The sequence below is a fragment of the Homo sapiens genome, chromosome 20 (genome assembly GCF_000001405.40).
Source record: "Homo sapiens chromosome 20, GRCh38.p14 Primary Assembly".
NCBI classification, from domain to species: Eukaryota; Metazoa; Chordata; class Mammalia; order Primates; family Hominidae; genus Homo; species Homo sapiens.
The window spans coordinates 64,127,989-64,150,762 of record NC_000020.11 but is presented as its reverse complement, the minus strand read 5'-3'; the positions used below and the strand labels follow the sequence as shown (position 1 = coordinate 64,150,762).

At 52.5% G+C, this 22,774-nt stretch overlaps 1 long non-coding RNA gene across 3 annotated transcripts, besides 73 other annotated features; it reads left to right on the top strand.

The window, feature by feature from the left end:
- The first annotated feature begins 7,080 nt into the window (after positions 1-7,080).
- On the top strand, positions 7,081-10,881 carry LOC105372727 (uncharacterized). Of its 3 annotated transcripts, XR_937006.2 has the most exons (4): positions 7,081-7,227; positions 9,773-9,850; positions 10,039-10,255; positions 10,532-10,584. It is a non-coding gene; the product is annotated as an uncharacterized LOC105372727 (long non-coding RNA). The 3 variants fall into 3 exon arrangements; XR_937008.2 differs by lacking the exon at positions 10,039-10,255 and having other exon boundaries at positions 7,123-7,227; positions 10,532-10,881; XR_937007.2 differs by lacking the exon at positions 10,039-10,255 and having other exon boundaries at positions 7,123-7,227; positions 10,367-10,550.
- Positions 9,710-10,623: an enhancer, noted in NCBI's record as "H3K4me1 hESC enhancer chr20:62771493-62772406 (GRCh37/hg19 assembly coordinates)". NCBI's record gives its function as "activates a minimal SCP1, AML or CMV promoter by ChIP-STARR-seq in primed H9 embryonic stem cells {active_cell/tissue: H9 hESC(primed)}" and the evidence as "EXISTENCE:reporter gene assay evidence [ECO:0000049][PMID:30033119]".
- Positions 12,460-12,959: an enhancer, noted in NCBI's record as "H3K4me1 hESC enhancer chr20:62769157-62769656 (GRCh37/hg19 assembly coordinates)". NCBI's record gives its function as "activates a minimal SCP1, AML or CMV promoter by ChIP-STARR-seq in naive and primed H9 embryonic stem cells {active_cell/tissue: H9 hESC(naive and primed)}" and the evidence as "EXISTENCE:reporter gene assay evidence [ECO:0000049][PMID:30033119]".
- Positions 12,960-13,461: an enhancer, noted in NCBI's record as "H3K4me1 hESC enhancer chr20:62768655-62769156 (GRCh37/hg19 assembly coordinates)". NCBI's record gives its function as "activates a minimal SCP1, AML or CMV promoter by ChIP-STARR-seq in naive and primed H9 embryonic stem cells {active_cell/tissue: H9 hESC(naive and primed)}" and the evidence as "EXISTENCE:reporter gene assay evidence [ECO:0000049][PMID:30033119]".
- Positions 13,994-21,471: a meiotic recombination region, noted in NCBI's record as "this region was identified as a recombination hotspot within the HapMap YRI population". NCBI's record gives the evidence for it as "EXISTENCE:nucleotide sequencing assay evidence [ECO:0000219][PMID:20981099]".
- Positions 15,827-19,639: a meiotic recombination region, noted in NCBI's record as "meiotic double-strand break mapped by DNA meiotic recombinase 1 chromatin immunoprecipitation followed by single-stranded DNA enrichment and sequencing in the germ cells of some male individuals with the PRDM9 A/A, PRDM9 A/B and PRDM9 A/C genotypes". NCBI's record gives the evidence for it as "EXISTENCE:chromatin immunoprecipitation-seq evidence [ECO:0000229][PMID:25395542]".
- Positions 15,937-15,949: a nucleotide motif, noted in NCBI's record as "nucleotide motif; similarity, but not exact identity (7/8 nucleotides) to the predicted 13-mer PRDM9 A binding motif (LD hotspot motif), CCNCCNTNNCCNC". NCBI's record gives the evidence for it as "COORDINATES:motif similarity evidence [ECO:0000028][PMID:19165926]".
- Positions 16,778-18,995: a repeat instability region, noted in NCBI's record as "repeat instability region; instability of the B7.6 VNTR region has been observed". NCBI's record gives the evidence for it as "EXISTENCE:polymerase chain reaction evidence [ECO:0000082][PMID:10196378]".
- Positions 16,808-18,928: a minisatellite, noted in NCBI's record as "B6.7 VNTR, 34 nucleotide repeat".
- Positions 16,843-16,855: a nucleotide motif, noted in NCBI's record as "nucleotide motif; similarity, but not exact identity (7/8 nucleotides) to the predicted 13-mer PRDM9 A binding motif (LD hotspot motif), CCNCCNTNNCCNC". NCBI's record gives the evidence for it as "COORDINATES:motif similarity evidence [ECO:0000028][PMID:19165926]".
- Positions 16,877-16,889: a nucleotide motif, noted in NCBI's record as "nucleotide motif; similarity, but not exact identity (7/8 nucleotides) to the predicted 13-mer PRDM9 A binding motif (LD hotspot motif), CCNCCNTNNCCNC". NCBI's record gives the evidence for it as "COORDINATES:motif similarity evidence [ECO:0000028][PMID:19165926]".
- Positions 16,911-16,923: a nucleotide motif, noted in NCBI's record as "nucleotide motif; similarity, but not exact identity (7/8 nucleotides) to the predicted 13-mer PRDM9 A binding motif (LD hotspot motif), CCNCCNTNNCCNC". NCBI's record gives the evidence for it as "COORDINATES:motif similarity evidence [ECO:0000028][PMID:19165926]".
- Positions 16,945-16,957: a nucleotide motif, noted in NCBI's record as "nucleotide motif; similarity, but not exact identity (7/8 nucleotides) to the predicted 13-mer PRDM9 A binding motif (LD hotspot motif), CCNCCNTNNCCNC". NCBI's record gives the evidence for it as "COORDINATES:motif similarity evidence [ECO:0000028][PMID:19165926]".
- Positions 16,979-16,991: a nucleotide motif, noted in NCBI's record as "nucleotide motif; similarity, but not exact identity (7/8 nucleotides) to the predicted 13-mer PRDM9 A binding motif (LD hotspot motif), CCNCCNTNNCCNC". NCBI's record gives the evidence for it as "COORDINATES:motif similarity evidence [ECO:0000028][PMID:19165926]".
- Positions 17,013-17,025: a nucleotide motif, noted in NCBI's record as "nucleotide motif; similarity, but not exact identity (7/8 nucleotides) to the predicted 13-mer PRDM9 A binding motif (LD hotspot motif), CCNCCNTNNCCNC". NCBI's record gives the evidence for it as "COORDINATES:motif similarity evidence [ECO:0000028][PMID:19165926]".
- Positions 17,047-17,059: a nucleotide motif, noted in NCBI's record as "nucleotide motif; similarity, but not exact identity (7/8 nucleotides) to the predicted 13-mer PRDM9 A binding motif (LD hotspot motif), CCNCCNTNNCCNC". NCBI's record gives the evidence for it as "COORDINATES:motif similarity evidence [ECO:0000028][PMID:19165926]".
- Positions 17,081-17,093: a nucleotide motif, noted in NCBI's record as "nucleotide motif; similarity, but not exact identity (7/8 nucleotides) to the predicted 13-mer PRDM9 A binding motif (LD hotspot motif), CCNCCNTNNCCNC". NCBI's record gives the evidence for it as "COORDINATES:motif similarity evidence [ECO:0000028][PMID:19165926]".
- Positions 17,115-17,127: a nucleotide motif, noted in NCBI's record as "nucleotide motif; similarity, but not exact identity (7/8 nucleotides) to the predicted 13-mer PRDM9 A binding motif (LD hotspot motif), CCNCCNTNNCCNC". NCBI's record gives the evidence for it as "COORDINATES:motif similarity evidence [ECO:0000028][PMID:19165926]".
- Positions 17,148-17,160: a nucleotide motif, noted in NCBI's record as "nucleotide motif; similarity, but not exact identity (7/8 nucleotides) to the predicted 13-mer PRDM9 A binding motif (LD hotspot motif), CCNCCNTNNCCNC". NCBI's record gives the evidence for it as "COORDINATES:motif similarity evidence [ECO:0000028][PMID:19165926]".
- Positions 17,182-17,194: a nucleotide motif, noted in NCBI's record as "nucleotide motif; similarity, but not exact identity (7/8 nucleotides) to the predicted 13-mer PRDM9 A binding motif (LD hotspot motif), CCNCCNTNNCCNC". NCBI's record gives the evidence for it as "COORDINATES:motif similarity evidence [ECO:0000028][PMID:19165926]".
- Positions 17,216-17,228: a nucleotide motif, noted in NCBI's record as "nucleotide motif; similarity, but not exact identity (7/8 nucleotides) to the predicted 13-mer PRDM9 A binding motif (LD hotspot motif), CCNCCNTNNCCNC". NCBI's record gives the evidence for it as "COORDINATES:motif similarity evidence [ECO:0000028][PMID:19165926]".
- Positions 17,250-17,262: a nucleotide motif, noted in NCBI's record as "nucleotide motif; similarity, but not exact identity (7/8 nucleotides) to the predicted 13-mer PRDM9 A binding motif (LD hotspot motif), CCNCCNTNNCCNC". NCBI's record gives the evidence for it as "COORDINATES:motif similarity evidence [ECO:0000028][PMID:19165926]".
- Positions 17,283-17,295: a nucleotide motif, noted in NCBI's record as "nucleotide motif; similarity, but not exact identity (7/8 nucleotides) to the predicted 13-mer PRDM9 A binding motif (LD hotspot motif), CCNCCNTNNCCNC". NCBI's record gives the evidence for it as "COORDINATES:motif similarity evidence [ECO:0000028][PMID:19165926]".
- Positions 17,317-17,329: a nucleotide motif, noted in NCBI's record as "nucleotide motif; similarity, but not exact identity (7/8 nucleotides) to the predicted 13-mer PRDM9 A binding motif (LD hotspot motif), CCNCCNTNNCCNC". NCBI's record gives the evidence for it as "COORDINATES:motif similarity evidence [ECO:0000028][PMID:19165926]".
- Positions 17,351-17,363: a nucleotide motif, noted in NCBI's record as "nucleotide motif; similarity, but not exact identity (7/8 nucleotides) to the predicted 13-mer PRDM9 A binding motif (LD hotspot motif), CCNCCNTNNCCNC". NCBI's record gives the evidence for it as "COORDINATES:motif similarity evidence [ECO:0000028][PMID:19165926]".
- Positions 17,385-17,397: a nucleotide motif, noted in NCBI's record as "nucleotide motif; similarity, but not exact identity (7/8 nucleotides) to the predicted 13-mer PRDM9 A binding motif (LD hotspot motif), CCNCCNTNNCCNC". NCBI's record gives the evidence for it as "COORDINATES:motif similarity evidence [ECO:0000028][PMID:19165926]".
- Positions 17,418-17,430: a nucleotide motif, noted in NCBI's record as "nucleotide motif; similarity, but not exact identity (7/8 nucleotides) to the predicted 13-mer PRDM9 A binding motif (LD hotspot motif), CCNCCNTNNCCNC". NCBI's record gives the evidence for it as "COORDINATES:motif similarity evidence [ECO:0000028][PMID:19165926]".
- Positions 17,452-17,464: a nucleotide motif, noted in NCBI's record as "nucleotide motif; similarity, but not exact identity (7/8 nucleotides) to the predicted 13-mer PRDM9 A binding motif (LD hotspot motif), CCNCCNTNNCCNC". NCBI's record gives the evidence for it as "COORDINATES:motif similarity evidence [ECO:0000028][PMID:19165926]".
- Positions 17,519-17,531: a nucleotide motif, noted in NCBI's record as "nucleotide motif; similarity, but not exact identity (7/8 nucleotides) to the predicted 13-mer PRDM9 A binding motif (LD hotspot motif), CCNCCNTNNCCNC". NCBI's record gives the evidence for it as "COORDINATES:motif similarity evidence [ECO:0000028][PMID:19165926]".
- Positions 17,553-17,565: a nucleotide motif, noted in NCBI's record as "nucleotide motif; similarity, but not exact identity (7/8 nucleotides) to the predicted 13-mer PRDM9 A binding motif (LD hotspot motif), CCNCCNTNNCCNC". NCBI's record gives the evidence for it as "COORDINATES:motif similarity evidence [ECO:0000028][PMID:19165926]".
- Positions 17,585-17,597: a nucleotide motif, noted in NCBI's record as "nucleotide motif; similarity, but not exact identity (7/8 nucleotides) to the predicted 13-mer PRDM9 A binding motif (LD hotspot motif), CCNCCNTNNCCNC". NCBI's record gives the evidence for it as "COORDINATES:motif similarity evidence [ECO:0000028][PMID:19165926]".
- Positions 17,618-17,630: a nucleotide motif, noted in NCBI's record as "nucleotide motif; similarity, but not exact identity (7/8 nucleotides) to the predicted 13-mer PRDM9 A binding motif (LD hotspot motif), CCNCCNTNNCCNC". NCBI's record gives the evidence for it as "COORDINATES:motif similarity evidence [ECO:0000028][PMID:19165926]".
- Positions 17,651-17,663: a nucleotide motif, noted in NCBI's record as "nucleotide motif; similarity, but not exact identity (7/8 nucleotides) to the predicted 13-mer PRDM9 A binding motif (LD hotspot motif), CCNCCNTNNCCNC". NCBI's record gives the evidence for it as "COORDINATES:motif similarity evidence [ECO:0000028][PMID:19165926]".
- Positions 17,683-17,695: a nucleotide motif, noted in NCBI's record as "nucleotide motif; similarity, but not exact identity (7/8 nucleotides) to the predicted 13-mer PRDM9 A binding motif (LD hotspot motif), CCNCCNTNNCCNC". NCBI's record gives the evidence for it as "COORDINATES:motif similarity evidence [ECO:0000028][PMID:19165926]".
- Positions 17,716-17,728: a nucleotide motif, noted in NCBI's record as "nucleotide motif; similarity, but not exact identity (7/8 nucleotides) to the predicted 13-mer PRDM9 A binding motif (LD hotspot motif), CCNCCNTNNCCNC". NCBI's record gives the evidence for it as "COORDINATES:motif similarity evidence [ECO:0000028][PMID:19165926]".
- Positions 17,749-17,761: a nucleotide motif, noted in NCBI's record as "nucleotide motif; similarity, but not exact identity (7/8 nucleotides) to the predicted 13-mer PRDM9 A binding motif (LD hotspot motif), CCNCCNTNNCCNC". NCBI's record gives the evidence for it as "COORDINATES:motif similarity evidence [ECO:0000028][PMID:19165926]".
- Positions 17,783-17,795: a nucleotide motif, noted in NCBI's record as "nucleotide motif; similarity, but not exact identity (7/8 nucleotides) to the predicted 13-mer PRDM9 A binding motif (LD hotspot motif), CCNCCNTNNCCNC". NCBI's record gives the evidence for it as "COORDINATES:motif similarity evidence [ECO:0000028][PMID:19165926]".
- Positions 17,817-17,829: a nucleotide motif, noted in NCBI's record as "nucleotide motif; similarity, but not exact identity (7/8 nucleotides) to the predicted 13-mer PRDM9 A binding motif (LD hotspot motif), CCNCCNTNNCCNC". NCBI's record gives the evidence for it as "COORDINATES:motif similarity evidence [ECO:0000028][PMID:19165926]".
- Positions 17,850-17,862: a nucleotide motif, noted in NCBI's record as "nucleotide motif; similarity, but not exact identity (7/8 nucleotides) to the predicted 13-mer PRDM9 A binding motif (LD hotspot motif), CCNCCNTNNCCNC". NCBI's record gives the evidence for it as "COORDINATES:motif similarity evidence [ECO:0000028][PMID:19165926]".
- Positions 17,884-17,896: a nucleotide motif, noted in NCBI's record as "nucleotide motif; similarity, but not exact identity (7/8 nucleotides) to the predicted 13-mer PRDM9 A binding motif (LD hotspot motif), CCNCCNTNNCCNC". NCBI's record gives the evidence for it as "COORDINATES:motif similarity evidence [ECO:0000028][PMID:19165926]".
- Positions 17,918-17,930: a nucleotide motif, noted in NCBI's record as "nucleotide motif; similarity, but not exact identity (7/8 nucleotides) to the predicted 13-mer PRDM9 A binding motif (LD hotspot motif), CCNCCNTNNCCNC". NCBI's record gives the evidence for it as "COORDINATES:motif similarity evidence [ECO:0000028][PMID:19165926]".
- Positions 17,951-17,963: a nucleotide motif, noted in NCBI's record as "nucleotide motif; similarity, but not exact identity (7/8 nucleotides) to the predicted 13-mer PRDM9 A binding motif (LD hotspot motif), CCNCCNTNNCCNC". NCBI's record gives the evidence for it as "COORDINATES:motif similarity evidence [ECO:0000028][PMID:19165926]".
- Positions 17,985-17,997: a nucleotide motif, noted in NCBI's record as "nucleotide motif; similarity, but not exact identity (7/8 nucleotides) to the predicted 13-mer PRDM9 A binding motif (LD hotspot motif), CCNCCNTNNCCNC". NCBI's record gives the evidence for it as "COORDINATES:motif similarity evidence [ECO:0000028][PMID:19165926]".
- Positions 18,019-18,031: a nucleotide motif, noted in NCBI's record as "nucleotide motif; similarity, but not exact identity (7/8 nucleotides) to the predicted 13-mer PRDM9 A binding motif (LD hotspot motif), CCNCCNTNNCCNC". NCBI's record gives the evidence for it as "COORDINATES:motif similarity evidence [ECO:0000028][PMID:19165926]".
- Positions 18,053-18,065: a nucleotide motif, noted in NCBI's record as "nucleotide motif; similarity, but not exact identity (7/8 nucleotides) to the predicted 13-mer PRDM9 A binding motif (LD hotspot motif), CCNCCNTNNCCNC". NCBI's record gives the evidence for it as "COORDINATES:motif similarity evidence [ECO:0000028][PMID:19165926]".
- Positions 18,086-18,098: a nucleotide motif, noted in NCBI's record as "nucleotide motif; similarity, but not exact identity (7/8 nucleotides) to the predicted 13-mer PRDM9 A binding motif (LD hotspot motif), CCNCCNTNNCCNC". NCBI's record gives the evidence for it as "COORDINATES:motif similarity evidence [ECO:0000028][PMID:19165926]".
- Positions 18,119-18,131: a nucleotide motif, noted in NCBI's record as "nucleotide motif; similarity, but not exact identity (7/8 nucleotides) to the predicted 13-mer PRDM9 A binding motif (LD hotspot motif), CCNCCNTNNCCNC". NCBI's record gives the evidence for it as "COORDINATES:motif similarity evidence [ECO:0000028][PMID:19165926]".
- Positions 18,153-18,165: a nucleotide motif, noted in NCBI's record as "nucleotide motif; similarity, but not exact identity (7/8 nucleotides) to the predicted 13-mer PRDM9 A binding motif (LD hotspot motif), CCNCCNTNNCCNC". NCBI's record gives the evidence for it as "COORDINATES:motif similarity evidence [ECO:0000028][PMID:19165926]".
- Positions 18,187-18,199: a nucleotide motif, noted in NCBI's record as "nucleotide motif; similarity, but not exact identity (7/8 nucleotides) to the predicted 13-mer PRDM9 A binding motif (LD hotspot motif), CCNCCNTNNCCNC". NCBI's record gives the evidence for it as "COORDINATES:motif similarity evidence [ECO:0000028][PMID:19165926]".
- Positions 18,221-18,233: a nucleotide motif, noted in NCBI's record as "nucleotide motif; similarity, but not exact identity (7/8 nucleotides) to the predicted 13-mer PRDM9 A binding motif (LD hotspot motif), CCNCCNTNNCCNC". NCBI's record gives the evidence for it as "COORDINATES:motif similarity evidence [ECO:0000028][PMID:19165926]".
- Positions 18,255-18,267: a nucleotide motif, noted in NCBI's record as "nucleotide motif; similarity, but not exact identity (7/8 nucleotides) to the predicted 13-mer PRDM9 A binding motif (LD hotspot motif), CCNCCNTNNCCNC". NCBI's record gives the evidence for it as "COORDINATES:motif similarity evidence [ECO:0000028][PMID:19165926]".
- Positions 18,289-18,301: a nucleotide motif, noted in NCBI's record as "nucleotide motif; similarity, but not exact identity (7/8 nucleotides) to the predicted 13-mer PRDM9 A binding motif (LD hotspot motif), CCNCCNTNNCCNC". NCBI's record gives the evidence for it as "COORDINATES:motif similarity evidence [ECO:0000028][PMID:19165926]".
- Positions 18,322-18,334: a nucleotide motif, noted in NCBI's record as "nucleotide motif; similarity, but not exact identity (7/8 nucleotides) to the predicted 13-mer PRDM9 A binding motif (LD hotspot motif), CCNCCNTNNCCNC". NCBI's record gives the evidence for it as "COORDINATES:motif similarity evidence [ECO:0000028][PMID:19165926]".
- Positions 18,356-18,368: a nucleotide motif, noted in NCBI's record as "nucleotide motif; similarity, but not exact identity (7/8 nucleotides) to the predicted 13-mer PRDM9 A binding motif (LD hotspot motif), CCNCCNTNNCCNC". NCBI's record gives the evidence for it as "COORDINATES:motif similarity evidence [ECO:0000028][PMID:19165926]".
- Positions 18,390-18,402: a nucleotide motif, noted in NCBI's record as "nucleotide motif; similarity, but not exact identity (7/8 nucleotides) to the predicted 13-mer PRDM9 A binding motif (LD hotspot motif), CCNCCNTNNCCNC". NCBI's record gives the evidence for it as "COORDINATES:motif similarity evidence [ECO:0000028][PMID:19165926]".
- Positions 18,423-18,435: a nucleotide motif, noted in NCBI's record as "nucleotide motif; similarity, but not exact identity (7/8 nucleotides) to the predicted 13-mer PRDM9 A binding motif (LD hotspot motif), CCNCCNTNNCCNC". NCBI's record gives the evidence for it as "COORDINATES:motif similarity evidence [ECO:0000028][PMID:19165926]".
- Positions 18,457-18,469: a nucleotide motif, noted in NCBI's record as "nucleotide motif; similarity, but not exact identity (7/8 nucleotides) to the predicted 13-mer PRDM9 A binding motif (LD hotspot motif), CCNCCNTNNCCNC". NCBI's record gives the evidence for it as "COORDINATES:motif similarity evidence [ECO:0000028][PMID:19165926]".
- Positions 18,491-18,503: a nucleotide motif, noted in NCBI's record as "nucleotide motif; similarity, but not exact identity (7/8 nucleotides) to the predicted 13-mer PRDM9 A binding motif (LD hotspot motif), CCNCCNTNNCCNC". NCBI's record gives the evidence for it as "COORDINATES:motif similarity evidence [ECO:0000028][PMID:19165926]".
- Positions 18,524-18,536: a nucleotide motif, noted in NCBI's record as "nucleotide motif; similarity, but not exact identity (7/8 nucleotides) to the predicted 13-mer PRDM9 A binding motif (LD hotspot motif), CCNCCNTNNCCNC". NCBI's record gives the evidence for it as "COORDINATES:motif similarity evidence [ECO:0000028][PMID:19165926]".
- Positions 18,558-18,570: a nucleotide motif, noted in NCBI's record as "nucleotide motif; similarity, but not exact identity (7/8 nucleotides) to the predicted 13-mer PRDM9 A binding motif (LD hotspot motif), CCNCCNTNNCCNC". NCBI's record gives the evidence for it as "COORDINATES:motif similarity evidence [ECO:0000028][PMID:19165926]".
- Positions 18,592-18,604: a nucleotide motif, noted in NCBI's record as "nucleotide motif; similarity, but not exact identity (7/8 nucleotides) to the predicted 13-mer PRDM9 A binding motif (LD hotspot motif), CCNCCNTNNCCNC". NCBI's record gives the evidence for it as "COORDINATES:motif similarity evidence [ECO:0000028][PMID:19165926]".
- Positions 18,626-18,638: a nucleotide motif, noted in NCBI's record as "nucleotide motif; similarity, but not exact identity (7/8 nucleotides) to the predicted 13-mer PRDM9 A binding motif (LD hotspot motif), CCNCCNTNNCCNC". NCBI's record gives the evidence for it as "COORDINATES:motif similarity evidence [ECO:0000028][PMID:19165926]".
- Positions 18,660-18,672: a nucleotide motif, noted in NCBI's record as "nucleotide motif; similarity, but not exact identity (7/8 nucleotides) to the predicted 13-mer PRDM9 A binding motif (LD hotspot motif), CCNCCNTNNCCNC". NCBI's record gives the evidence for it as "COORDINATES:motif similarity evidence [ECO:0000028][PMID:19165926]".
- Positions 18,693-18,705: a nucleotide motif, noted in NCBI's record as "nucleotide motif; similarity, but not exact identity (7/8 nucleotides) to the predicted 13-mer PRDM9 A binding motif (LD hotspot motif), CCNCCNTNNCCNC". NCBI's record gives the evidence for it as "COORDINATES:motif similarity evidence [ECO:0000028][PMID:19165926]".
- Positions 18,727-18,739: a nucleotide motif, noted in NCBI's record as "nucleotide motif; similarity, but not exact identity (7/8 nucleotides) to the predicted 13-mer PRDM9 A binding motif (LD hotspot motif), CCNCCNTNNCCNC". NCBI's record gives the evidence for it as "COORDINATES:motif similarity evidence [ECO:0000028][PMID:19165926]".
- Positions 18,761-18,773: a nucleotide motif, noted in NCBI's record as "nucleotide motif; similarity, but not exact identity (7/8 nucleotides) to the predicted 13-mer PRDM9 A binding motif (LD hotspot motif), CCNCCNTNNCCNC". NCBI's record gives the evidence for it as "COORDINATES:motif similarity evidence [ECO:0000028][PMID:19165926]".
- Positions 18,795-18,807: a nucleotide motif, noted in NCBI's record as "nucleotide motif; similarity, but not exact identity (7/8 nucleotides) to the predicted 13-mer PRDM9 A binding motif (LD hotspot motif), CCNCCNTNNCCNC". NCBI's record gives the evidence for it as "COORDINATES:motif similarity evidence [ECO:0000028][PMID:19165926]".
- Positions 18,829-18,841: a nucleotide motif, noted in NCBI's record as "nucleotide motif; similarity, but not exact identity (7/8 nucleotides) to the predicted 13-mer PRDM9 A binding motif (LD hotspot motif), CCNCCNTNNCCNC". NCBI's record gives the evidence for it as "COORDINATES:motif similarity evidence [ECO:0000028][PMID:19165926]".
- Positions 18,863-18,875: a nucleotide motif, noted in NCBI's record as "nucleotide motif; similarity, but not exact identity (7/8 nucleotides) to the predicted 13-mer PRDM9 A binding motif (LD hotspot motif), CCNCCNTNNCCNC". NCBI's record gives the evidence for it as "COORDINATES:motif similarity evidence [ECO:0000028][PMID:19165926]".
- Positions 18,897-18,909: a nucleotide motif, noted in NCBI's record as "nucleotide motif; similarity, but not exact identity (7/8 nucleotides) to the predicted 13-mer PRDM9 A binding motif (LD hotspot motif), CCNCCNTNNCCNC". NCBI's record gives the evidence for it as "COORDINATES:motif similarity evidence [ECO:0000028][PMID:19165926]".
- Positions 19,219-19,234: a nucleotide motif, noted in NCBI's record as "nucleotide motif; similarity to the predicted 16-mer PRDM9 C binding motif, CCNCNNTNNNCNTNNC".
- Positions 20,408-20,420: a nucleotide motif, noted in NCBI's record as "nucleotide motif; similarity to the predicted 13-mer PRDM9 A binding motif (LD hotspot motif), CCNCCNTNNCCNC".
- Positions 21,171-21,183: a nucleotide motif, noted in NCBI's record as "nucleotide motif; similarity to the predicted 13-mer PRDM9 A binding motif (LD hotspot motif), CCNCCNTNNCCNC".
- Positions 21,351-21,363: a nucleotide motif, noted in NCBI's record as "nucleotide motif; similarity to the predicted 13-mer PRDM9 A binding motif (LD hotspot motif), CCNCCNTNNCCNC".

The window sequence follows — 22,774 nt, the reverse complement described above, 5'->3', positions numbered from 1 at the left end:
AGCTTCTTCCACTGGGTGCCCATAGGGGCAGAGGGGAAACTAGACCACTTTCCACAGTAGTAGCACCTCACCTAGGGAAGGCCTGTCCTTCTCCACAGTCCTCCACTCCCACAACTTACCATGCACCAGTTCCCAGCTCCTGATTTAGGGCCCTCATCCCTCCAGTAACGTGAGTAAAACTCCAATATCCTAGTCTACAGACCAGAAACCTGAGGCCCAGAGAAGAGCCAAGATTTGAACCCACGTCTTCTGCCTCCAGAGAGCAGTTCACATCCTCTTGTCTTCATAGCCTCAAGGCAGGAGCTTATAGACAGGGAGAAATGACAGTTTCACCCAGCATGGCCCCCACCTGAGGCAGACAGCAGAGCTGCAGAGGGGCTGTGTTTGCGTGCATGTGTGTGTGTGTGAACATCCATGTGTGTACATCTGTGTGCATGTGCATGCCCATTTCTGTGTGCATGTGTGCATCTCTGTGTACACATCTGTGTGCATGTGCGCGTGCCTCTCTGTGTACATGTGTGTGCATGTGCACGTGCCTCTGTGTACACATCTGTGTGCGTGTGTGCGTGCCTCTGTGTACACATCTGTGTGTGTGTGTGCGTGCCTCTCTGTGTACACATCTGTGTGTGCATGTGTGCGTGCCTCTCTGTGTACACATCTGTGTGTACGTGTGCGTACCTCTCTGTGTACACATCTGTGTGTGCGTGTGCGTGCCTCTGTGTACACATCTGTGTGTACGTGTGTGCGTGCATCTGTGTACACATCTGTGTGTACGTGTGCGCGTGCCTCTCTGTGTACACATCTGTGTGCATGTGCGCGTGCCTCTCTGTGTACACGTGTGTGCATGTGCGCGTGCCTCTCTGTGTACACATCTGTGTGTGTATGTGCGTGTGCCTCTCTGTGTACACATCTGTGTGTGAATGTGCGTGCCTCTCTGCGTACACATCTGTGTGTACGTGTGTGTGCATCTCTGTGTACACACCTGTGTGCATGTGCCTGTCTGCTGTGTGGGCCTATGCATGCACATTTCTGTGTGCATGTCTGTGTACAAATGTACATGCCTGTATGTGTGCATGCACATCTATGAATGCACCATCACACACCATTCCTGTCCCCATGAAGGGGACTAGGGCTGAGGAAGCACAAGAGCTTCAGGTCTAGCCCCTCACCTAGGAGAGAGCCCTCTAGACCAGCCCCCATCAGTTGCCATCTAGGGAGTTGAGTCAAGGTGGAGCCCCTCACCCCGCTGGTCTCCACCTCCTTCTCAACCCAGGGTCCATGATGCTGCCCTTCAACCCCCTCCTCAAACCAAGAAGGCTTCCTCAAAGTGGGCTGTATGCAGTCCCCAGACTCTAAGGTCCCGGCTCCCTCGGGCCTTTGCAGGGGCTCCAGCAGGGACACCCTCACTTTGACCATGATAAGGGGGAAGTCTCAGGTCAAGCGTCCTTCCTCGGAGGCCTGCCTGGGCCCCTTGGCTGGTTGGAATTCTCCACGCTGCACCTGTGAGCTGTGTCTGTGGATGCTTTCCGTGCCTGGCCAGTACCATTACTGAGTGTCTCAACCACAAGCTGCCTGCAGCTATTTTGCCTTCTGCAAATGATGATCCAAAGTGTCTTTATATTTCTGCCTCTATTTGGTGGTTTTCCACATTTAGCCTGCCATGTGGGGCCATTATATAGGAAATTGCTTCATCAAGAAGTGAATACCTGTAATGGGAACAGCACACATCAGGGAGAGAACATCCTGGCCATTAAGCACCGTTCCGGTGGCCACCTTCCTCTCATTTCATCCTGTGTTTGTGTAGAAGCCCTTAGCGGATGTGGGGAGGTAGGGGACAAGAAGTAGACCCTTCTTTGGGGAGCCCCCTCCAGGAAGGCTGGCACAAAGGGTCAGAAAAGAGGTTTTGATTAAGCTGAATGTCTTCAAGGTGAAGAGTCACCTGAGATCTGAAACAGAGGTCCCCCGAGGTGGGGGGTGTCTGATACTTTCTACTTTGAGCTGCCAGTGACACGAGCTTGTAGTCCACAGCAACGGTGTGGGTGGTCCCATGGTTTCTAACAGAATGTTACTTGGGGTTGTGAGATCTCCAAGTTTGAAGCCTGCTACTTTGTAATAAGTACTTGGGAAAGGAAAATAAATCTAGGGACCCCAAAATCACTAAGCCAAAGCACGTCAGGCCAACCTGCCTCCCATTTTATTCCCGAATAAGATAGTGACAAGGATTGTGTGGAAGTCTACATCCTCCCTCACAATTTCCCCACAGAGAAACTCTTCTTGGGCTTCAAGATCTTTGCCCTAAAACTGTTCTGCTGAATTTCACCCTGGCAACGTAAATGGATAGCTTCCCTTCACAGGTGCGGGACAATGGACAGGCAGAACTCATCAAAGTCATCCCACTGCCCACCTGAGACAAATGCACATCTGATGGCTTCCTCTGCCCTACTGCTTATGTAAAAATGCAGATTCACTGAGTCAGCCTAAGGCATAAGTGACTATTTCTCTACCCCCTCTCACATGTAAATTGTGTGTTCAGTGAAACACTGATCAAAGACCCAAAAGAATGCAGCTGTTTGTGTCTTATCTACCTATGGCCTGGAAGCCCACACTTTGAGTTGTCCTGCCTTTCCAGACCAAACCAATGTACATCTTGTACATATTGATTGATGTCTCATGTCACCCTTCAAATGTATAAAACCAGGCTGTGTCCCGACCACCTCGGGCACATGTCACCAGGACCTCCTGAGGCCGAGTCATGGGCCATGGTCACTCGTATTTGGTTCAGGATAAATCTCTTCAAATACTTTACAGAGTTTGACTCTTTTCATGGACACCCTTGGCTTCCCCTCCTCAGGGGAAGCCCCTGGGCCCAGACTTGCACTGCTCAGCGAAGGCACAGAGCACAGACACCTTCGTGTGCTTGGGCCACCATCATGGGCCCACTGAAGGTTCCCTACGCGGTTAGGGTTAGGGTCACAGGTGGAGCCGCCCCTCCTTGCCCCACTGGCAGCACTCACTCCCTCCTGTGCCTCTAGGGCACCATCACTTCCGTATAAAGACTCAGCCTCTAATCAGCCTCTCTGCTCCACCCACTATCTCCTTCCCCAGGGTCATCCCGCTAAGCCAGTCTCTGGGAAGCTTTCAGACCGGGTCACAGCCCTTCTCCGAGCTGTTCTGGTGACCCTTGTTGAAGCTGGGATTGCACAGAGCAATTCTGGTGACCCTTGTTGAAGCTGGAATTGCTCAGAGCTGTTCTGGTGACCCTTGTTGAAGCTGGAATTGCACAAGTACATGTCATCATCTGTTCAGTGTTCGGCCAAGGTGAGGGGCTGCATGGATCTGCCTTACCCGGTGCTGAGCCCAGAGCCTGCTCAGAGAAAGTGCCAGATACACGTGGACACATGCAGAAAAGACATTGGTTAGGACCGCGGACACCCCCCACACATCTGAGGGAGGCTGCGGCTGGTGGGGGCATCACAGAGGAGGCTCAGAAAACAGACCTTCTTTGAGAAGCTGGGGGAGTAGGGAGGGGCAAGGCCGGAAGACAGGGTCCCCGCACAAAGGGCTCCATCTGCGAAGTCAGCCCTGCACCTGCCCTGGTGCCCCATCCACGCAAGCAAGCACCTGGAGCTCTCCCCACAGAGCAGCCCAAGGGGCACCAGGGAGGGCCCAGGGTCTGCAGCACCCACGGGGCCACCTCCTTCACTACCAGGCAGAGAAGGTGGTGTGGCTCCAGCACTGGCTCAGAAGCAGGGCCTCGCTGCCACCCCACACCTAGTGGGAGAGGCCCAGCCTCTCAGAGGCCTCCCACTGAAGAACAGCCCCCAGCCCCACCAAAGGGTGCCCTCACCAGAGCTGGGGGCTCCTGGAGGCCACAGGGCCAGAGGCTGGGCCACAATCCTGGTCAGTCCTCCCAATCCGCGCTGAGTACCCTCACCCTCACTCAGGGGCTGAGCCTCCAACCAGCACCCATCCCTTCTCTCCTTAGAGCAGGCCCAGGCCTGGGGTCTTGAGGGGAAGTTGGCCCATTTCCCCGGGCCTGCCCCACCCTCCCAGTCCCAGGGCCCCTGTCTCTGGGTCTGTCCCCTAGACTGCCCACCCTCCCCTCCTCAGACCCTTGAGAGAAGGAGAGATGGGGGCTGGATCTCTGGGAGAAAGGACAGAGCCAGCAGAGAAAGGCACTCCCCGCAGCAGCTGTCAGGTTCGGTGAGGGAGGTTGGGGGAGGGGGCATGAGTGTATTCAGCATCTGCCTGCAGCAGCCTGGCCACTAATTCTCCCTAATTGCTTTAAAGTTGTACTAATTGAACTGACTGAAAACAGAGTCTTGAGGGGCTGGGGAGGGCGTTGTCCGAGAAAACAGCAGCCCATCTCCCAACCCAAGAGCTGCCCAAAGCTGGCTGAAGTTCCTCAGCTGCCCAGGGCCTCAGCCAGGGTGGCTGTTTGTCCCCTGACCCCAGGCCCAGCCAAGCCCCCTCTCAGATTTAGGGTCAGGGCTGGTGGCCCAGCAAGAAGGGGCCAAGCTCAAACAAGGGCATGTCCAACCCCAAGATGGGACCCAGGATGGGACCCAGGAGGGGCTGCTCTGAGACAGGAAGGGCTGTCAGTCTCTCTTACACACGTGGAATCCACGGGCCTGCCAGTCCACTGACACACTCCACAAACACCAGCCCCACCAGTGCTGACACTGGGGGTCCTGGGGCTAACAGCGGTGCGCACAGTGCTTGGTGCACCTGCTGCATCTCGACGTGATTACGCCACATCTGTTCCCCCACCAGCCAGGAGACCCAAAGAGCAGGCCTGGGCAGGACATGGAGGGAGACATTTCGGAAGAAGGAATGGGTACGAGGGCAGGACATGGAAGGAGACATTTCGGAAGAAGGAATGGGTATGAATGAGTCCTTCCCCATTTAGTGTGTGAGCCTCCAAATCCTCTATTAGCACCCAGCCCATTATTTCCTTCTCAAGTACTCTCCTCCAACATGCATGCCAACTGTCCAAAAATGCTGGAGGCTTAGTCCAAAGCCTGGTAGGGAGGAGCTGCAGGAGAGCCTTGTCCTTCCACAGGCAGTGCTGCTGCCATTGCAACCACAAGGTGTCGCCGTGGAACACCGGTCTTGTACAGTCCTGTTGGTCTTGCTGGTTTTGCAGCACCTTTGCTGCCCTGATCCCTGCAGGCTGCTGTAGGGCCTCGGGGACCATGACTGACCAGCTCGAGCATGGCAGAGGAAGGCAGAGGCTGAGAGCTTCTAGCATTCTTCCCACGGTGTTCAGAATGCAGTCTCCCTAACCACAGGCCCACGTTGCACCTCAGTCTTCCCTTTCTCTAGAAATAAGGCCCCTGTGCAGGAGGGGCCCAGTGTCTTTTCCTCCCAGCTGACATCTGTCACGACACACACAATCCATTGGCAGGGCTCTAATAATGCTTGACCCCAAAAGTGAAGGGGCTGGTGGGACAGGCATGGTGTCTCTTCCACTGCAAGTATGTCCTCCTCCCAAGCTTATCACTGGACATTGCTGGATTCCCAGCATGGAGGGAGGCTTCAAAGGAATGTTAGCAGAGGCTCTGCCCAGAGGAACTGCTCAGCTAATTTCACTGTACTGAAGAAGCCAAGAGCAGACCCCAGAAGATTACTCGGTTCCTCTCAAATAGATCAAAAACCAAGGGCTGGGCCCTCTCACCATCCTTGGGCTCCTAGGGACCTAAGGGACAGAGAAGGGCTCCCAAATATTCCTCTCCCTTTCACCTCACTTCCATGTAGAAAATCTAGGCTGACCCAGGCAGAAAGTCAAGTCTGAGCTCAGACTCCTGGACACCTGCTTTGCCACTGCATCTTCAATGCCCCCAGTGAGTACCCTGACACCCAAAAATACCCCAAAATGCTGCCTATGATCACATCCAGACACAGTGCACACCACACACATGCAACACATGAGCACATGTGTTCACATACAAAAGCACACACAGCCACTGCAACTCAATACTCCCCACAAGCCGGATGTCCAGGTCTGTGACTGACCTCAGAAGAGAAGCAGGAGAGCGGGAGAGCACTGAGCGCACGCCAGGCAGACTCATTCAGCTGAAGACAAGGGCCTCAGCCCTGCTACCACATTCTCTCCAGAGCTAGCAGGGACCCCCATCAGACTCAGTCTGAGGCCTCTGTGCACATACACTTAATCTCACCACTCACACACATATGTTCATGAAAGCACACATGTGTAGCATATGCACACACAAATCACTTGAACACATGCACACACACATGCATTACTTACATGTACACAACTTTTACACATATGCACATCCTGAAATATACACATGTACACACAATGTGCATGTACACACAATGTGCATAGCTGTATGCACACATGCATGTGCACATATATACATGTACCCCTCACATGTGCACACACATGCACATATGCACATGTGAACACACTGCCCACATGCATATACACACGTGAGTACATGCACATATATACATGCACCCCTCGCATGTGCACACGCATGCACATATACACATGTGAACACACTGCCCACATGCATATACATGCATATATACACGCACCCCTCACATGTGCACACACATGCACACATGCACATATACACATGTGAACACACTGCCCACATGCATATACATGCATATATATATGCACACCCCTCACATGTGCAAACACATGCACACATACACACTGCTTATGTGCACATATACACTTGTATATTCACAAAAACCTACATGTACACACATGCATATACCACTTACACATACACACATGCACGCATGTACATACACATTAGCGTATCTGCATGAGCATATACATGTCATTCACATATGCACACGTTTACACATACATACTTTTGTGCATGTGTGTACATGCAGACACCATTCACACGTAGATGTACATGCCCACTCACCTAAACATGCATGCACTCACATGAGCATTCTCACTCACACACATGTCCGCTAACGCTGATGTCTGCAAAGTGGGTGCTGCAGAGCACACAGAGCACACACCCTAAGACTCTGGTCCCCACCCACCTGGGGGCCTGTTAGCTCATAGGGGGGCAGGTGTCACAGTAACTGGATACAGGGTGGAACTTCCTTCCATCCAGAGGATCTCCCAGCTCAGGCTCATCCTGGAGCCAGCTCTGCAGAGGGAACATGGGGGGAGGCGACTCACACCATGACCTGTGTGGAGGTGGCCATGGTCGGGTGAACCAATGAACCAAGGTATGAGTAAGTGTAAGCTCTGTCTCAGTGCTCTGCGAGGTAATGGTGAGCGAGGGGCCACACTGAACCCAGCAAACAAGCGGCAGGAGTTGAGTATTCGGAACACGCTCCCTCTTAAGGAAAGGAAGGACCCTCAGGAACACTGGCTTAAGTTTTATGTAACCCCTGGTCTAGGAGAGAGATGGGTGGGGAGACCTCTGGGCATGCTGAGTGGGGCTGGGATAAACGCAGGAAAAGAGGGAGGCGAGGATCCCCAGGGGCCGTGAGGTTTGGGAGCCAGAGAAAAGAGTGGTCAGGAGAGCCCAGCAGGGGCATTGTTCAGGGCCTCAAACACTAGGATGCTGGACAGTCGGGGCTGGCCATGGTCAGCAGCAGAACAGAGCCTAGCCTGGGCAGGCACACCTACCAAAGCCTGGGCGGACTGGAGAGGGGGCCTACCTGCCAGGAGTCAGGCCAGGCAGTTGGGTGGGGGTACAGTTGCAGAGGGACGCCCTAGAAGCAGTAGGATTTGGGAAGTGGGAAGGCAGGAACAAGGAGAGGTAGCTGGATAATGAGCTGATTGGCAAATGAGTAAACAGCAATTGCCTGATGAAAAGTGTTTATGGTGCAATTAGCAGCTGTGCCATAAATAAAAGTTTAACTGTGTTTATTATAAACTTGTTGAGCCACAGGAAACAGCTCTCCGCGAGTGAGCCAGCCTTTAGTGCTCTATTTACTCCATGAGCCGTCTTTGGCGATGCATGACTAAGCTTCCTCTCAGCATCCATTCAATTCAGATCTTCATCCCTCTCCCGACCCCTCCCTCGGCACACACGGCCTCTTCTGCCCAAGTTCTCACCCCCACGGTGGCATGGCACAAGCACCTGTCCTCACCTGGGCTTCAGGTTCCTGGAAGTACCACCCCGCTTCCAGCCCCTGTGGCTCTCCCACCCTTCTGCCTGGCTCCTTTTCCTACAGAATTCTTCCTGGAATCCTCGAAGCCCTCCCTCTGCCCAGCCCACTGCCCCAACTCACTCTCTTCGCCACCTAGAAATGGACCCTTTTCAGCACGCTGCCTCCTCATCCTATCTCCCATCATCTTTTGTTGTTTACTTTTTAAGCATGAAAATATTCAAACACGCATTCAAAACACACTGTCAGACAGACAATGAAGAATGCTTGTCCTGTGCCCTCCTCCCCAGCGGGGGCATCTCTGAAATTGGTTTGTATCATCTCCCTGCATGTTTTCACAGTTTTTGTATCTACATACACATCCAATAACAACACATACTATTTTTTTCAGTTTACATTGATGTGATCATACAGAACAAAACCCTTTACAACTTGTTTTTATAGCTCAACTTTTTTTAAAGAGATGGAGTCTCGCTCTGTCACCCAGGCTGGAGTGCAGTGACACAGTCATAGCTCACTGCAGCCTCAACCTCCCAGACTTAAGCAATCCTCCCGCCTCAGCCTCCCAAGTAGCTGGGACTAAATCTAGGCACGCACCCTGCGCCCTACCAGCTTCAGCCTTATTCTTTTTTTTTTTTTTTTGAGACGAAGTCTCACTGTCACCCAGGCTGGAGTGCAGTGGCACGATCTCGGCTCACGGCAAGCTCCGCCTGCCAGGTTCACGCCATTCTCCTGCCTCAGCCTCGCGAGTAGCTGGGACTACAGACACCCGCCATCACGCCCAGCTAATTTTTTTGCATTTTTAGTAGAGACGGGGGTTTCACCATGTTAGCCAGGATGGTCTCCATCTCCTGACCTTGTGATCGGCCCGCCTCCGCCTCCCAAAGTGCTGGGATTACAGGCGTGAGCCACCGCGCCCCGCCTCAGCCTTATTCTTAAGGTTTATTCAAGTTGACTGATTTTAATCCCTGTGTAGCATTACCGTCAATGAATAATCAGCTATGGCTCCTCTCCTTCCTTCAGCTATAACCCTTTGCACCTGCTCCCAGAGCCACGTGTCCCGAAGTCTCTCCACCTGCAGCACCTTCCCTGCCCTCCCCGAGGGTCCCCTGGCCTCCTCCTGGGACCCGGGGCCCTCCCTGCAGCACCTTCCCTGCCCTCCCCGAGGGTCCCCTGGCCTCCTCCTGGGACCCGGGGCCCTCCCTGCAACAGCTTCACAGCACTTTAAGTGGCGGGGGGGGCATAGCTGATTTTTCACTGGAGGTAATCTATGCAGGGATGAAAACACTTCTTACACACACTTTTTAAATGTTTTGAATGCTTTTAGAGTTCCTTTTCATCATAGAAGAAATAGGGTAGCGCTGCCAACTTGGAAAACAGGAGAGGAAAGCACCTCTCAGGGCCTGGGCCGGTTCCACACAGCTGTGTCTCGCCCCGCAGTGAAGGCAACTATGTGCGGCCCGTGAGCCGTTCATGTTTGTGCTGTCTCTCCCACCAGCCAAGGGTGCCTGGGGGTCTCTGTCTCTCCGGGACACGCAGAAGTGGAGAGGGAGGAGGAGGGGGAGACAAGAGGAGATGGAGCAGAGAGCTCTCCAGAACTTGGCTGTGATGGGGTCGAGGCTAAGAGAGCCTTTGGTTTGTTTTTTAACAACAGACTCCTGAGTGTGTTAAGTCCAAAGAGCAGGACTCCGTGAAGGAAAGAGGGAAGAGCTGCAGCGGGGAGGCTGAACAGGTAGGAGCGGGGCTGGTACTGCCCCCAGCCAAGCCACGAGGCCTCCAGGCCTCATGCCCGTTGCCTTGGCCTCCCACCTGCTCCCTTCATTTGGGAAGACATTCCCTGCCTCCTTTCCACCTTGCACCAACCCACTCACACACCCCAGAGCCCCTTAGTCGCTCTCACTTTCTTCTTTCCTCTTCCAGGGCGGCTGTCTGCCCACACCCCTGCTATCAGCCTGTGAGCTCAGGGACTGACTCTGCTTCTGAGTACATAAAACCTCCAGTCCCAAGTGGCTACCTGGTCCACAGGCACACCCACCTTCCCCCTCAGTGGGATTTTCTGTGGGGCCTGCAGCAGGGACAGTCTCAGGTGTGGGGAGAGCCACTGCCTTGAAATCCAGCTAGCATCTTGACCCAGCCCGTGAGTCACAGGTGGGCCCCCAGCCCTGGGTCAGAGGGTGGCTAGTCATGGCGCCCACCCGGCCTGAGAACGGTGGCAGAAAGGTGAGCTGCCCCTTTCATTTCTTCCCAGGCAAAGCCTCCAGACAACAAGAGCAACATTTTAATTTAAATTCTGATTCCACATTCATTCACAGAGCAGCTCTGAGCAGGGATTTCATTAAAGGCTTTAACAGGTTTTATAGGACTTGTCACCTCAGGGAAGGTGATGGAGCAAATGCATTTTCTCTGCCTCCAGGATTTTAACAACGGCTTGAAGAAACAAACTTACCATGAAAATGCAGGGCAGTCCAGCCTTGTGCAGACAAAGGAGAAATGAGCCTCACTCGGGCAAACAGTGCTGGCGACCTCCTCTCCCTCCCTCCACCAAGGAAAACAAAAGAAGGGCAAGGCCCAGAGTGGACAGAGGCTTCTTCCCTGGGTCAGAGAAACACGAGGTCTCGGGGCCCAAATCCCAGCGCTGCCTGGAGGAAAGGACCCAGCACCTCCCAGCAAAGGCCTCTGTCCACAGCTCCCTTAGTCTGGGGCAGGGAAATCTGTCTGCACCTTGCCTTGGCTTCTTTCCCTGGGCCCTGGGGGACAACTGCCTATCCGCTTTCCCCCTCAGGAACAGGGACACATTAGCAAGGTGACCAGTGTGTCCCAGTTGGCCCAGATTGTGCTGGTTTTAAAACGGAGAGTCCTGGAAACCCCTTCACCTGGGCAAACCAGGACGGTGGAGCACGGGGCAGGACGAGCAGCAGGACGAGCAGCAGGTCAGCCCTGGGGCCCACAGCTGCCGGAGGCTTCCTGGTCACTGTCTGTTCCCAAGCGCCTGAACTTAACCCTAACCCTACCCCTAACCCAAATTCCACTCACCACTGGCAAAACTGTCCTCTGTCCTGGACTACCTCCGCCCTGGCCAGGGTGCTCAAGGCCCTGTTGGTGGTCGAGGGGTTCCTATGGATCCCGGACCCTGGCCTGGGCCTAATCGGAGCCCGCCTGGGCCTCTGACCACCATCTCTCTCTGCTCTGCTGTCAAGGACCACCCCCCGCACCCCCCCCACCCGCCTTCTGCCAGGTACCTCAAGAGAAACATGGATGGCCCCCCTGGGCTCCCTACCCCAGCCACAGGGCTGTGGAGGCCACTCCCTCTGAATGCCACACCCCACACTGCACATGCCCTGCCCGCTCCCCCAACAGCAGAGTCCCTGCAGGACAATGGCCAAGCCTCTCTCACTGGGCGAGCTGCTCCCTCTCCACGGGGGCCCCAGCTACCCAGGTACAGAATTTCTAATAGTCAGAGCAAGTGTTTAGGGAACCATCAAAGCAGGACACCAAAAACAATTGTTTTAAGAATTTGGCTTTTTTTTTTAAGTGTTTAAGTTGACCTCAGGAAAATCTGCAATGTTTTAGACTTTCTTATACTGATTTTATGATTTAATATTGTTTTAATGCTTAAAGATTTTATGTCAAGAAGCATCATAACTTGGCTGGGCACGGTGGCTCATGCCTGTAATCCCAGCATTTTGGGAGGCCGAGGCGGGCCGATCACGAGGTCAGGAGATCAAAACCATCCTGGCTAACATGGTGAAACACTGTCTCTCCTAAAAATACAAAAAAAAATTAGCCAGGCATGATGGCAGGTGCCTGTAGTCCCAGCTACTCGGGAGGCTGAGGCAGGATAATGGCGTGAACCCGGGAGGCAGAGTTTGCAGTAAGCCGAGACTGCACCACTGCACTCCAGCCTGGGCAACAGAGCAAGAATGCGTCTCAAAAAGAAAAAAAAAAAAAAGAAGCATCATAACTTTTTGGCAGGAGCTCAACATACGTGCTCAGTTCCCGTGCCGCAAGAATGGGTGAGTGCAGGACAGCGCATGTGGCTCAGCACGAATCTCTCCGCTGTCCTTATTTGATAATGAGGCCTCTGCCCACCCAATGGAGGGTGAATTCCCCAAAAGTGGAGACAGGCTGGCCTTCATCTCTGTGAGACTTCCCAGAGGCAGCAGCACAGCTTAGCAGAACACAGCTTGAGGCCTGGAGTCAGCCAGTCCCGCGTTCGAATCCCAGCTCGGTGTGACCACGGGCAGGTTACTTAACCTTTCTGAAACTCAGTCTCCTCACTTAGACGGCAGGGTTGTTGTGAGTAGTAAATGAGCTCCTGAAGGTCAACACAAGGAACCTGCATACAGTAGGTGCTCGTTAAAAGTAACCGCTAGTGTCTGATTCCTCATGGCCTTGTTCCAGGGCGTGGCTAGAGCAGGGCTTCACCCGTGTGCACTGGATGAATGAATGACAACAGCCTCCCCGGCCCTCCCCACCCCCACAGACCCTGCCCCATCTATCCCAGCATCACCTGACCCCCACCCTTACCCCAAAACGCTGACATTGAGAGGTCCATAGAGCTCCCCATGGACAGCCCTGGGGTCACAAAGGCAGATTACAGCCTTGTCTAGAACAGCTTGTGGTCAGCTCATTCCACACTGGCCCTACCCTTTGGCCTCCACTAGGCCCAGACCTGAGGCCTCCAACACCCAACCGCACACTGCACCCCTGGGGGCTGAGTCCAGGTGCCCTGGGGAGCTTCTGGAAGTGCCCATCCCCCAAGTCGGTTGTTGTTGGTTCAGTAATGGAGCCACATCTGGCAAAGCTCATCCCAGCGTCCTGTGCTGCACCTGTCCAGCATCTGGCCCACCCCACTTTCCACCTCTGTGACCTGCAGGGCCACCTGCGGCTGCCTGACTCCGGGCTGCTGGGTGGGACTGGCCTGCAGGGAGCCAACTGGGAGTGGGTGTTTGCTTCCCCAGCCCTCCCTGTAGGGTCCTGCACTCGAGTCTCCCCACACCCAGGTCTCTGCTCCTGCAGGACCACCTCCCTTGCAGCCTCCCTGTGTCCTCCGAGGCCTGAGGGGTCCCACCCAGCATTAGCCTTAGTGGTTTCTCTACATGCCAACCACATCTTAGTCCCTTTATTCATCTCTCCTCAAATTTCCCAAGTTGAGGGTGACATCTGTCTCCTCCATGGATGCTAACTGACACCAATCAATCACGACCTTGGCTCTTATACCAAAATAAAGCCTGGATAGATTTAAAAAGATTTAAAAGTTTTTAATTTAAATAGTACTAGAAGAAAGCATGGGGGAAGGGGGATATTATGAAAAAGATTAATTACCTCATGTAATAAAAAGAAAATTCTCTATGGCAAAACTCCTTAAGCAAAGACAAAAGTCAAATAACAAACCAGGGGAGGTGGTGCCACATACCTGTGGACCCAGCTGCTTGAGAGGCTGAGATGGGAGGATCCCTTGAGCTCAGGAGTTTGAGACCAGCCTGGGCAACACAGTGAGACCTCTGTCTCTCAAAAGAAAATTTTTTAAGAAAAAAATGAAAAAAATATCTGCAAGTATGTAGGTGTAAGTTCCTTAATATGTAAACGCCCCGTACAAATCAATAAGACAAAATCCAACAACACAATAAGAAAAATGGGTCAAGGGCCTGTAATCCCAGTATTCTGGGAGGCCGAGCCAGGCGGATCACTTGAGGTCAGGAGTTCGAGACCACCCTGGCCAATATGGCAAAACCTTGTCTCTACTAAAAATACAAAAATTAGAGCCCAAGAGTTCGAGACCAGCCTGAGCAACATAGTGAGGCCCTGTCTCTACATTTTAAAAAATTAAAGATAATAAATTTTTAAAAAGAAAGAACGAGAGACTTCACAACACACACATTAGGAAGGCATGGGCAGCAAGACACTGCCACCACCTCCGTGGTACAAGCTCTGTGGAGGGCAGTGTGACAATACGCCCTTCAAAGTTAAAACTTCAGACCCCCTCTGCCTGGCACATCTTCCTTCAGAAATCTGCCCTAAGATGTGCTCACCCACTGGGAGACGACTCATGTCCAAGGACGCCTTTGGCACCACTGTCTGTGAAAAAGAAAACGTTGAAAGCAACCTGGCTGTCTCTCAATAACGGCTAAATCGGTCAGGGGCCGCCACACCAAGCAACCTCGATGTCCCTCAATAACGGCTAAATCGGTCAGGGGACGCCACACCATGGGCAAGGGGGCCCTAACGATGCGGGACCTCTTCAAGCCATGGTGTTTCATGCAAAGGCACAGTGCAAAGTCCCCTGACAACTGAGGGAGCGTGTGTGTTTGTGATGCGCAAAACTGAGGGAGCGTGTGTGTTTGTGACACACAAAACTGAGGGAGCGTGTGTGTGATGCGCAAAACTGAGGGAGCGTCTGTGTTTGTGACGCACATAACTGAGGGAGCGCGCGTTTGTGACGCACAAAACTGAGGGAGCATATGTGTTTGTGATGCACAAAACTGAGGAATCGTCTTTGGGATGCACGAAACTGAGGGAGCGTGTGTGTTTGTAACACACAAAACTGAGGGAGCGTGTGTGTTTGTGAAGCACAAAGCTGAGGGAGCGTGTGTGTGATGCGCAAAACTGAGGGAGCGTCTGTGTTTGTGACGCACATAACTGAGAGAGCACGCGTGTTTGTGACGCACAAAACTGAGGGAATGTGTGTGTTTGTGATGCACAAAACTGAGGGAGCGTGTGTGTTTGTGACACACAAAACTGAGGGAGCGTGTTTGTGACGCACATAACTGAGGGAGCATGTTTGGGATGCACGAAACTGAGGGAGCGTGTGTGTTTGTAACACACAAAACTGAGGTAGCGTGTGTGTTTGTGACGCACAAAACTGAGGGAGCGTGTGCGTTTGTGATGCACAAAACTGAGGGAATGTGTTTGTGATGCCCAAAACTGAGGGAGCATGTGCGTTTGTGATGCACAAAACTGAGGGAGCGCGCGTGTTTGTGGCGCACAAAACTGAGGGAATGTGTGTGTGATGCACAAAACTGAGGGAGCGTGTGTGTTTGTGAAGCACAAAACTGAAGGAGCGTGTGTGTTTGTGACACACAAAACTGAGGGAGCGTGTGTGTGATGCGCAAAACTGAGGGAGCGTCTGTGTTTGTGACGCACAAAACTGAGGGAGCGTGTGTGTTTGTGATGTCCATAACTGAGGGAGCGTGTGTGTTTGTGAAGCACAAAACTGAGGGAGCGTGTGTGTTTGTGATGTCCATAACTGAGGGAGCGTGTGTGTTTGTGAAGCACAAAACTGAGGGAGCGTGTGTGTTTGTGATGTCCATAACTGAGGGAGCGTGTGTGTTTGTGAAGCACAAAACTGAGGGAGCGTGTGTGTTTGTGATGTCCATAACTGAGGGAGCGTGTGTGTTTGTGAAGCACAAAACTGAGGGAGCGTGTGTGTTTGTGATGTCCATAACTGAGGGAGCGTGTGTGTTTGTGAAGCACAAAACTGAGGGAGCGTGTGTGTTTGTGATGTCCATAACTGAGGGAGCGTGTGTGTTTGTGATGCGCAAAACTGAGGGAGCGTCTGTGTTTGTGACGCACATAACTGAGGGAGTGCGCGTGTTTGTGGCGCACAAAACTGAGGGAGCGTGTGTGTGACGCACAAAACTGAGGGAGCGTGTGCGTTTGTGATGCACAAAACTGAGGGAGCGTGTGTTTGTGATTCGTGTAACTGAGGGAGCGTGTGTGTTTGTGATGCACGGAATCACTGTCAAGGACCGGAAAGAGGAGAAGCAGAAACGCCTCCTTTTCAAGGGGAACATCACACACCGGGGACTTTTGTGGGGTGCGGGGAGAGGGGAGGGATAGCATTAGGAGATACACCTAATGCTAAATGATGAGTTAATGGGTGCAGCACACCAACACGGCACATGTATACATATGTAACAAACCTGCATGTTGTGCACATGTACCCTAGAACTTAAAGTATAATAATAATAAAATTTTTTAAAAAAAGAAATGCTTCCTTTTCACTGTATGCAGTTTTTTTGTTTTGCGCATTTTTTAAACTATTATTTATTTTTAAACTTTTACTTTTTGAATCATCTGGATGTATAACCAATTTCCCCCAAAAAAAGGAAAATAATTTTTTTTAAACGTTTTAAAATTCCTAATCCTAGGATGGTCCCAGAGTGATCCTGAAGTGCTGTGGGGAAGGGCACACTTTAAGACTCAGGCAATGGGCTGCAACCTCCTGTTCCAGGCCGACCCCCTCAGGTGCTCTCCCCACTCCCCAGAAAGGATGAGGTACCCCTGGTAAAAACCCCTGGATGGGGCAAACATGAACAGTTACTGCCACCCTCTGGTGCACGAGGAGGCAGACGCAGTCTGGAGACCCCGGGGACTCATCCCGAAACTTTAGGAAGCACCAAGGTCCCCCAAAACCCTGTTAAAACCTCATAGGGGTGCTCCAGGGCCATGTTCTGTGTGGCCCAGGGCTCACTGTGAGGGTCCACTGGGCCACCCCCACATGGTCATGTTTGCTGTGCTTTGATTTAAAAATAAGTAAATACATAAATAACCGAGTGTCCAGCCCCTCCCTGAGCTGCCTTGGGGGAGGGCCGGGTCTGAAAGTTAACTGCTCCCCAGCTGCTGAAGCAAAAAGCAGCCGAGGGCCCTTCCCAAAGCTGCTGTGGACCAAGACCCAAGCTCAAGTTCCGGGAACCCAAGGAGCAAATGCAGAGGGTCCTGAGGGTGGACAGTGAGGGGGTCTCTACAGGCCATATGGGTGGACAGTGAGGGGGTCTCTACAGGCCATGAGGGTGGACAGTGAGGGGGTCTCTACAGGCCATGAGGGTGGACAGTGAGGGGGTCTCTACAGGCCATGAGGGTGGACAGTGAGGGGGTCTCTACAGGCCATGAGGGTGGACAGTGAGGGGGTCTCTATAGGACATGAGGGTGGACAGTGAGGGGGTCTCTACAGGCCATATGGGTGGACAGTGAGGGGGTCTCTACAGGCCATGAGGGTGGACAGTGAGGGGGTCTCTTTGGACATGAGGGTGGACAGTGAGGGGGTCTCTATAGGACATGAGGGTGGACAGTGAGGGGGTCTCTACAGGCCATGAGGGTGGACAGTGAGGGGGTCTCTACAGGCCATGAGGGTGGACAGTGAGGGGGTCTCTTTGGACATGAGGGTGGACAGTGAGGGGGTCTCTATAGGCCATGAGGGTGGACAGTGAGGGGGTCTCTACAGGCCATGAGGGTGGACAGTGAGGGGGTCTCTACAGGCCATGAGGGTGGACAGTGAGGGGGTCTCTTTGGACATGAGGGTGGACAGTGAGGGGGTCTCTATAGGACATGAGGGTGGACAGTGAGGGGGTCTCATAGGACATGAGAGTTGACAGTGAGGGGGTCTCTACAGGCCATGAGGGTGGACAGTGAGGGGGTCTCTATAGGACATGAGGGTGGACAGTGAGGGGTCTCATAGGACATGAGAGTGGACAGTGAGGGGGTCTCATAGGACATGAGGGTGGACAGTGAGGGGGTCTCATAGGACATGAGGGTGGACAGTGAGGGGTCTCATAGGACATGAGGGTGGACAGTGAGGGGGTCTCATAGGACATGAGGGTGGACAGTGAGGGGGTCTCATAGGACATGAGGGTGGACAGTGAGGGGGTCTCTATAGGACATGAGGGTGGACAGTGAGGGGGTCTCTACAGGACATGAGGGTGGACAGTGAGGGGGTCTCATAGGACATGAGGGCGGACAGTGAGGGGGTCTCTACAGGCCATGAGGGTGGACAGTGAGGGGGTCTCTATAGGACATGAGGGTGGACAGTGAGGGGGTCTCATAGGACATGAGGGCGGACAGTGAGGGGGTCTCTATAGGACATGAGGGTGGACAGTGAGGGGGTCTCTATAGGACACGAGGGTGGACAGTGAGGGGGTCTCTATAGGACATGAGGGTGGACAGTGAGGGGGTCTCATAGGACATGAGGGTGGACAGTGAGGGGGTCTCATAGGCCATGAGGGTGGACAGTGAGGGGGTCTCTACAGGCCATGAGGGTGGACAGTGAGGGGGTCTCTATAGGACATGAGGGTGGACAGTGAGGGGGTCTCTACAGGCCATGAGGGTGGACAGTGAGGGGGTCTCTATAGGCCATGAGGGTGGACAGTGAGGGGGTCTCTATAGGCCATGAGAGTGGACAGTGAGGGGGTCTCATAGGCCATGAGGGTGGACAGTGAGGGGGTCTCTATAGGACATGAGAGTGGACAGTGAGGGGGTCTCTATAGGACATGAGGGTGGACAGTGAGGGGGTCTCATAGGACATGAGGGTGGACAGTGAGGGGGTCTCTATAGGACATGAGGGTGGACAGTGAGGGGGTCTCTATAGGACACGAGGGTGGACAGTGAGGGGGTCTCATAGGACATGAGGGTGGACAGTGAGGGGGTCTCTACAGGACATGAGGGTGGACAGTGAGGGGGTCTCTATAGGACATGAGGGTGGACAGTGAGGGGGTCTCTATAGGACATGAGGGTGGACAGTGAGGGGGTCTCTATAGGACACGAGGGTGGACAGTGAGGGGGTCTCATAGGACATGAGGGTGGACAGTGAGGGGGTCTCTACAGGCCATGAGGGTGGACAGTGAGGGGGTCTCTATAGGACATGAGGGTGGACAGTGAGGGGGTCTCTATAGGACATGAGGGTGGACAGTGAGGGGGTCTCTACAGGCCATGAGGGTGGACAGTGAGGGGGTCTCTATAGGCCATGAGAGTGGACAGTGAGGGGGTCTCTACAGGACATGAGGGTGGACAGTGAGGGGGTCTCATAGGACATGAGAGAGGCCAGGAGAAGTCTGGGACAGGGGAGGCTGTGACCCCCACCAGGTCCCCTAAACCTGGGCTCAGTGTGGAGTCTCAGCCTCACCCTCATGGGCTGCCCAGCCCCTCCTGGCCCACCTACAACAGCCTGCACCCCTGTGAACAACTATCCACAGCCCAGCAGCTATCCTCATTTTGTCTCATGCCCAGCCCAGAGCACATGCCCAGCTAAACACAGAGCAGCACAGTACCAGTGTGGCCACCAGATGGCCCAGATCATCTGCTTCCCAGGGTAGCACTGCAGGGCATCCACACTGGGCATGTCCACCCCTAGCGTGTCAATACTCCAGTGCCTCTACGTACACACGCACACGCCTGGATACTCCAGTGCCTCTATGCACACACATGAACATGCCTGGATACTCCAGTGTGTCTACTCACACACATGAACACGCCTGGATACTCCAGTGCCTCTACTCACACACGCACACGACTAGATACTCCAGTGCCTCTACTCACACACATGAACACGCCTGGATACTCCAGTGCCTCTACTCACACACACACACGACTAGATACTCCAGTGCCTCTACTCACACACGCACACGCCTGGATACTCCAGTGCCTCTACTCACACACGCACACGCCTGGATACTCCAGTGTACTCCAGTGCCTCTACTCACACACATGAACATGCCTGGATACTCCAGTGCCTCTACGCACACACATGCACACACCTGGAGCCCAGGATTGCCAGTGGCCATTGCCATCGCCCTTGTGCTGAACAAGAAAGCGTCAGTGGTCCAGGACAAATGCACCAAAATTCCACCTTTAACATCCAGCATAGTCTTCCACTCGACCTCTTGTTCTTCCTGAGTGACCCCTGCCAGGAGGCGCAGAGGCCCCACTGGCCTCCCCAGAAGCGGGCATGCCTCTGTCACACTCACCCTGTTCTCTGTTCTCAGGCCCAGGGGTTAAAACCAACACAAGTTAAATAAAACCTCTGGCCTGAGGGTCATAGTTTCGTCTTCAAAATGTGTGCTTTAACCTTTTCCAGAATTAGGCTTTTTAAAGAAGCCTCCCATTGCCTTTAGGAAAACAGTTCAAAGGTTCTCCATGACCCAGCACCTCCTTCCCCTACCCCCCATTCCTGGGACATCTGCGTGTGTGGTTTCCTCTGTCTGGAGCAGCCCCTTCCACGCACACTGCATGGTCTCTTAGGGCTCCATAATAAAGGACCACAGACTGGCTTAAACAATAGAAAATTATTCTCTTAGTTCTGGAGGCCGGAAGTCTGGAATCCAGTATTGTCAGGGCTGCATTCCCTCCGAAGACTCCAGGGATGACCGTTCCTCACCTCCTCTAGTTTCTGGCAATCCTGGATGCTCCCTGGCTCACAGACGCATCCCTCCAGCCTCCACCACTTCTGTCTTCACACAGCACTGTCCTCTGCATCTTCTGTGTCCAAATTTCCCTCTTCTTGTAAGGACACCCAAGTCCACCATGGCCTCAAATGGACTAATTAAATCTGCAAAGACCCCACTTCCAAACAAGGTCACACTCACAGGTGCTGGGGGTTGAGACTCCAACTTTTTTTTTTTTTTTTTTTTGACGGAGTCTCACTCTGTCGCCAGGCTGCAGTGCAGTGGCACAATCACGGTTCACTGCAACCCCCGCCTCCCGTGTTCAAGTGATTCTTCAGCCTCAGCCTCCCGAGTAGCTGGGACTACAGGCGCCTGCCACCTCACCCGGCTAATTTTTGTATTTTTTTAGTAGAGACGGGGTTTCATTATGTTGGCCACGATGGTCTCGATCTCTTGACCTCGTGATCCACCCGCCTCAGCCTCCCAAAGTGCCGCGATTACAGGCGTGAGCCACCGCGCCCGGCTGAGGCTCCAACATATCTTTTAGGAGACACAACTCAACCCCCAACAATAATGAATGAAGAAGCCTGTTGAGCGTTAGGAGCCCAGTTCCAAGGAGGACCCAAACCACGATCGACAATCCAGGGTGTGAAATAGACATCCACAAAACACTCATCTACTTCATTCCTCTGGACAAAACTCCTTTGCAGTTCTAGAACAAGAATTGTTTGCGTTACTATCAGTTTTCTGCAATTGTCCCACCAAAGGGGCTGCTCCGGCTCTGGCTGAGCATCCTCCACCCTCTCCAACCTTTGGCCACCAAGTGTCCCCAAGCCCCTGGGATGCTCCCCATCACCAGTTTGGCCAGGTCCCACTGGCCTGGATCTTCCCACATGTGTGGTGATGGAGGAGGCTCAGAGGGGTCTGTGGAACGGGACTTAACAGGTCTCAAGTGTCTCAAACTAATCTGGGCCCCCAAGGTGGCTGACTGAGGTCTCAGCTGCTTCCCAGTGGGGCAGACGGAGCATGAAGCTCTAAGAGCAGCACCCGTGGTCATGCCCTGCATCTCAGACAGGAGGGGAGACGGTGGAGTGGCATCTGGGCAGGTGCCTGGAGCCAGGAGGGACAGTAGATGCGGGAGGTGTGACACACCAGGCAGGAGCCTGAGGGTGGCCAGACAGACCAGGACCAAGCAGGGGCCAACGCAGCACAAGGGGCTCCAGGAACGAACAGCCAGAGGGGCTGTGATTTGAGTGAAGGTGTCATCCCTGGAGTGTGGGGAGTTCAAGACCAGCCTGGGCAACATGGCGAGACCCCGTCTCTACTAAAAATTAAAAATTAGCCAGGTGTGGTGGCTCACACTTCTGGTCCAGCTACTTGGAAGGCTGAGATGGGAGGATCACTTTGCCAGACGTTGAGGCTACAATGAGCCCTGATGTGACCCACGCCACTCCTGCCTGGGCAACAGAGCAAGACTCTGTCTCCAAAAAGAAAAGAATGCCAATTTCACAGAACTCTTTGAGGAAACTGAAGAAGAGGGACTGTCTCCCAACTCATTCATTGAGGCCAAGATTACTCTGATACCAAAAGCACCACAAGAAAAAAAATTACAGACCAATATCCCTCATAAACACAGATGCAAAAATTATTAACAACATTTTAGTAAATCAAAATCCATCAATATTTGAAAAAATACTATAATATGACCAAGCAGAGTTTATTCCAGAATGCAAGGTTAGTTTAACAAAATCAGTGTGATTCGTTATATTAACAAACTAAAAAAGGAAACACATGATTATCATAATAGACGCAGAAAAAGCATTTGACAAAATCTAAAATCCATCCCTCATAAAGACTCTCAGCAAACTAGGAATAGGAGAATGTGTCAGCCTGATATGAAAAACCCAAGTTAAATCTTAATCCATGTCTCTCCTCAGAGCAAGACGGAGGCAAGGATGTTCAATTCTACTCAACATTGTACTGGACACTCTAACCAAACCAATAAGGCAAGAAAAAGAAATAAAAGGTGTCCAGGTTAGAAATAAAAAATTGTCTAATTCACAGACATGATCATCTGTGTAGAAAGTTGGGTATAATCCACAAAAAAGCTACTAGAACTAATAAGCAACTTCAGCAAAGTTTCAGGATACAAAATCAATACACAAAAATCTATGGGATTTCTATATCCTAGAAACGAATAATCAAATGAACATTTTTAAAAACAATGCTATTTATAATAGCATCAAAAAATGAAATACCTAGAAATACAACTGACAGAAGCCATACATTAAAAACCGTAAAACTGCTGAGAGAAATTAAAGATGTAAATAGGAGTTATGCTGTGTTCATGCATCAGAAAACTCCATATGCCGATTCTACCCAAACTCATCTATAGATTTAATGCAATTAAAATTGCAAGAGGCTTTTTTCTGGAAATTAACAAACTGATTCCAAAATTTGCATAGAAATTTGCAAAGAACCTATAATCCCCTAACAACTTT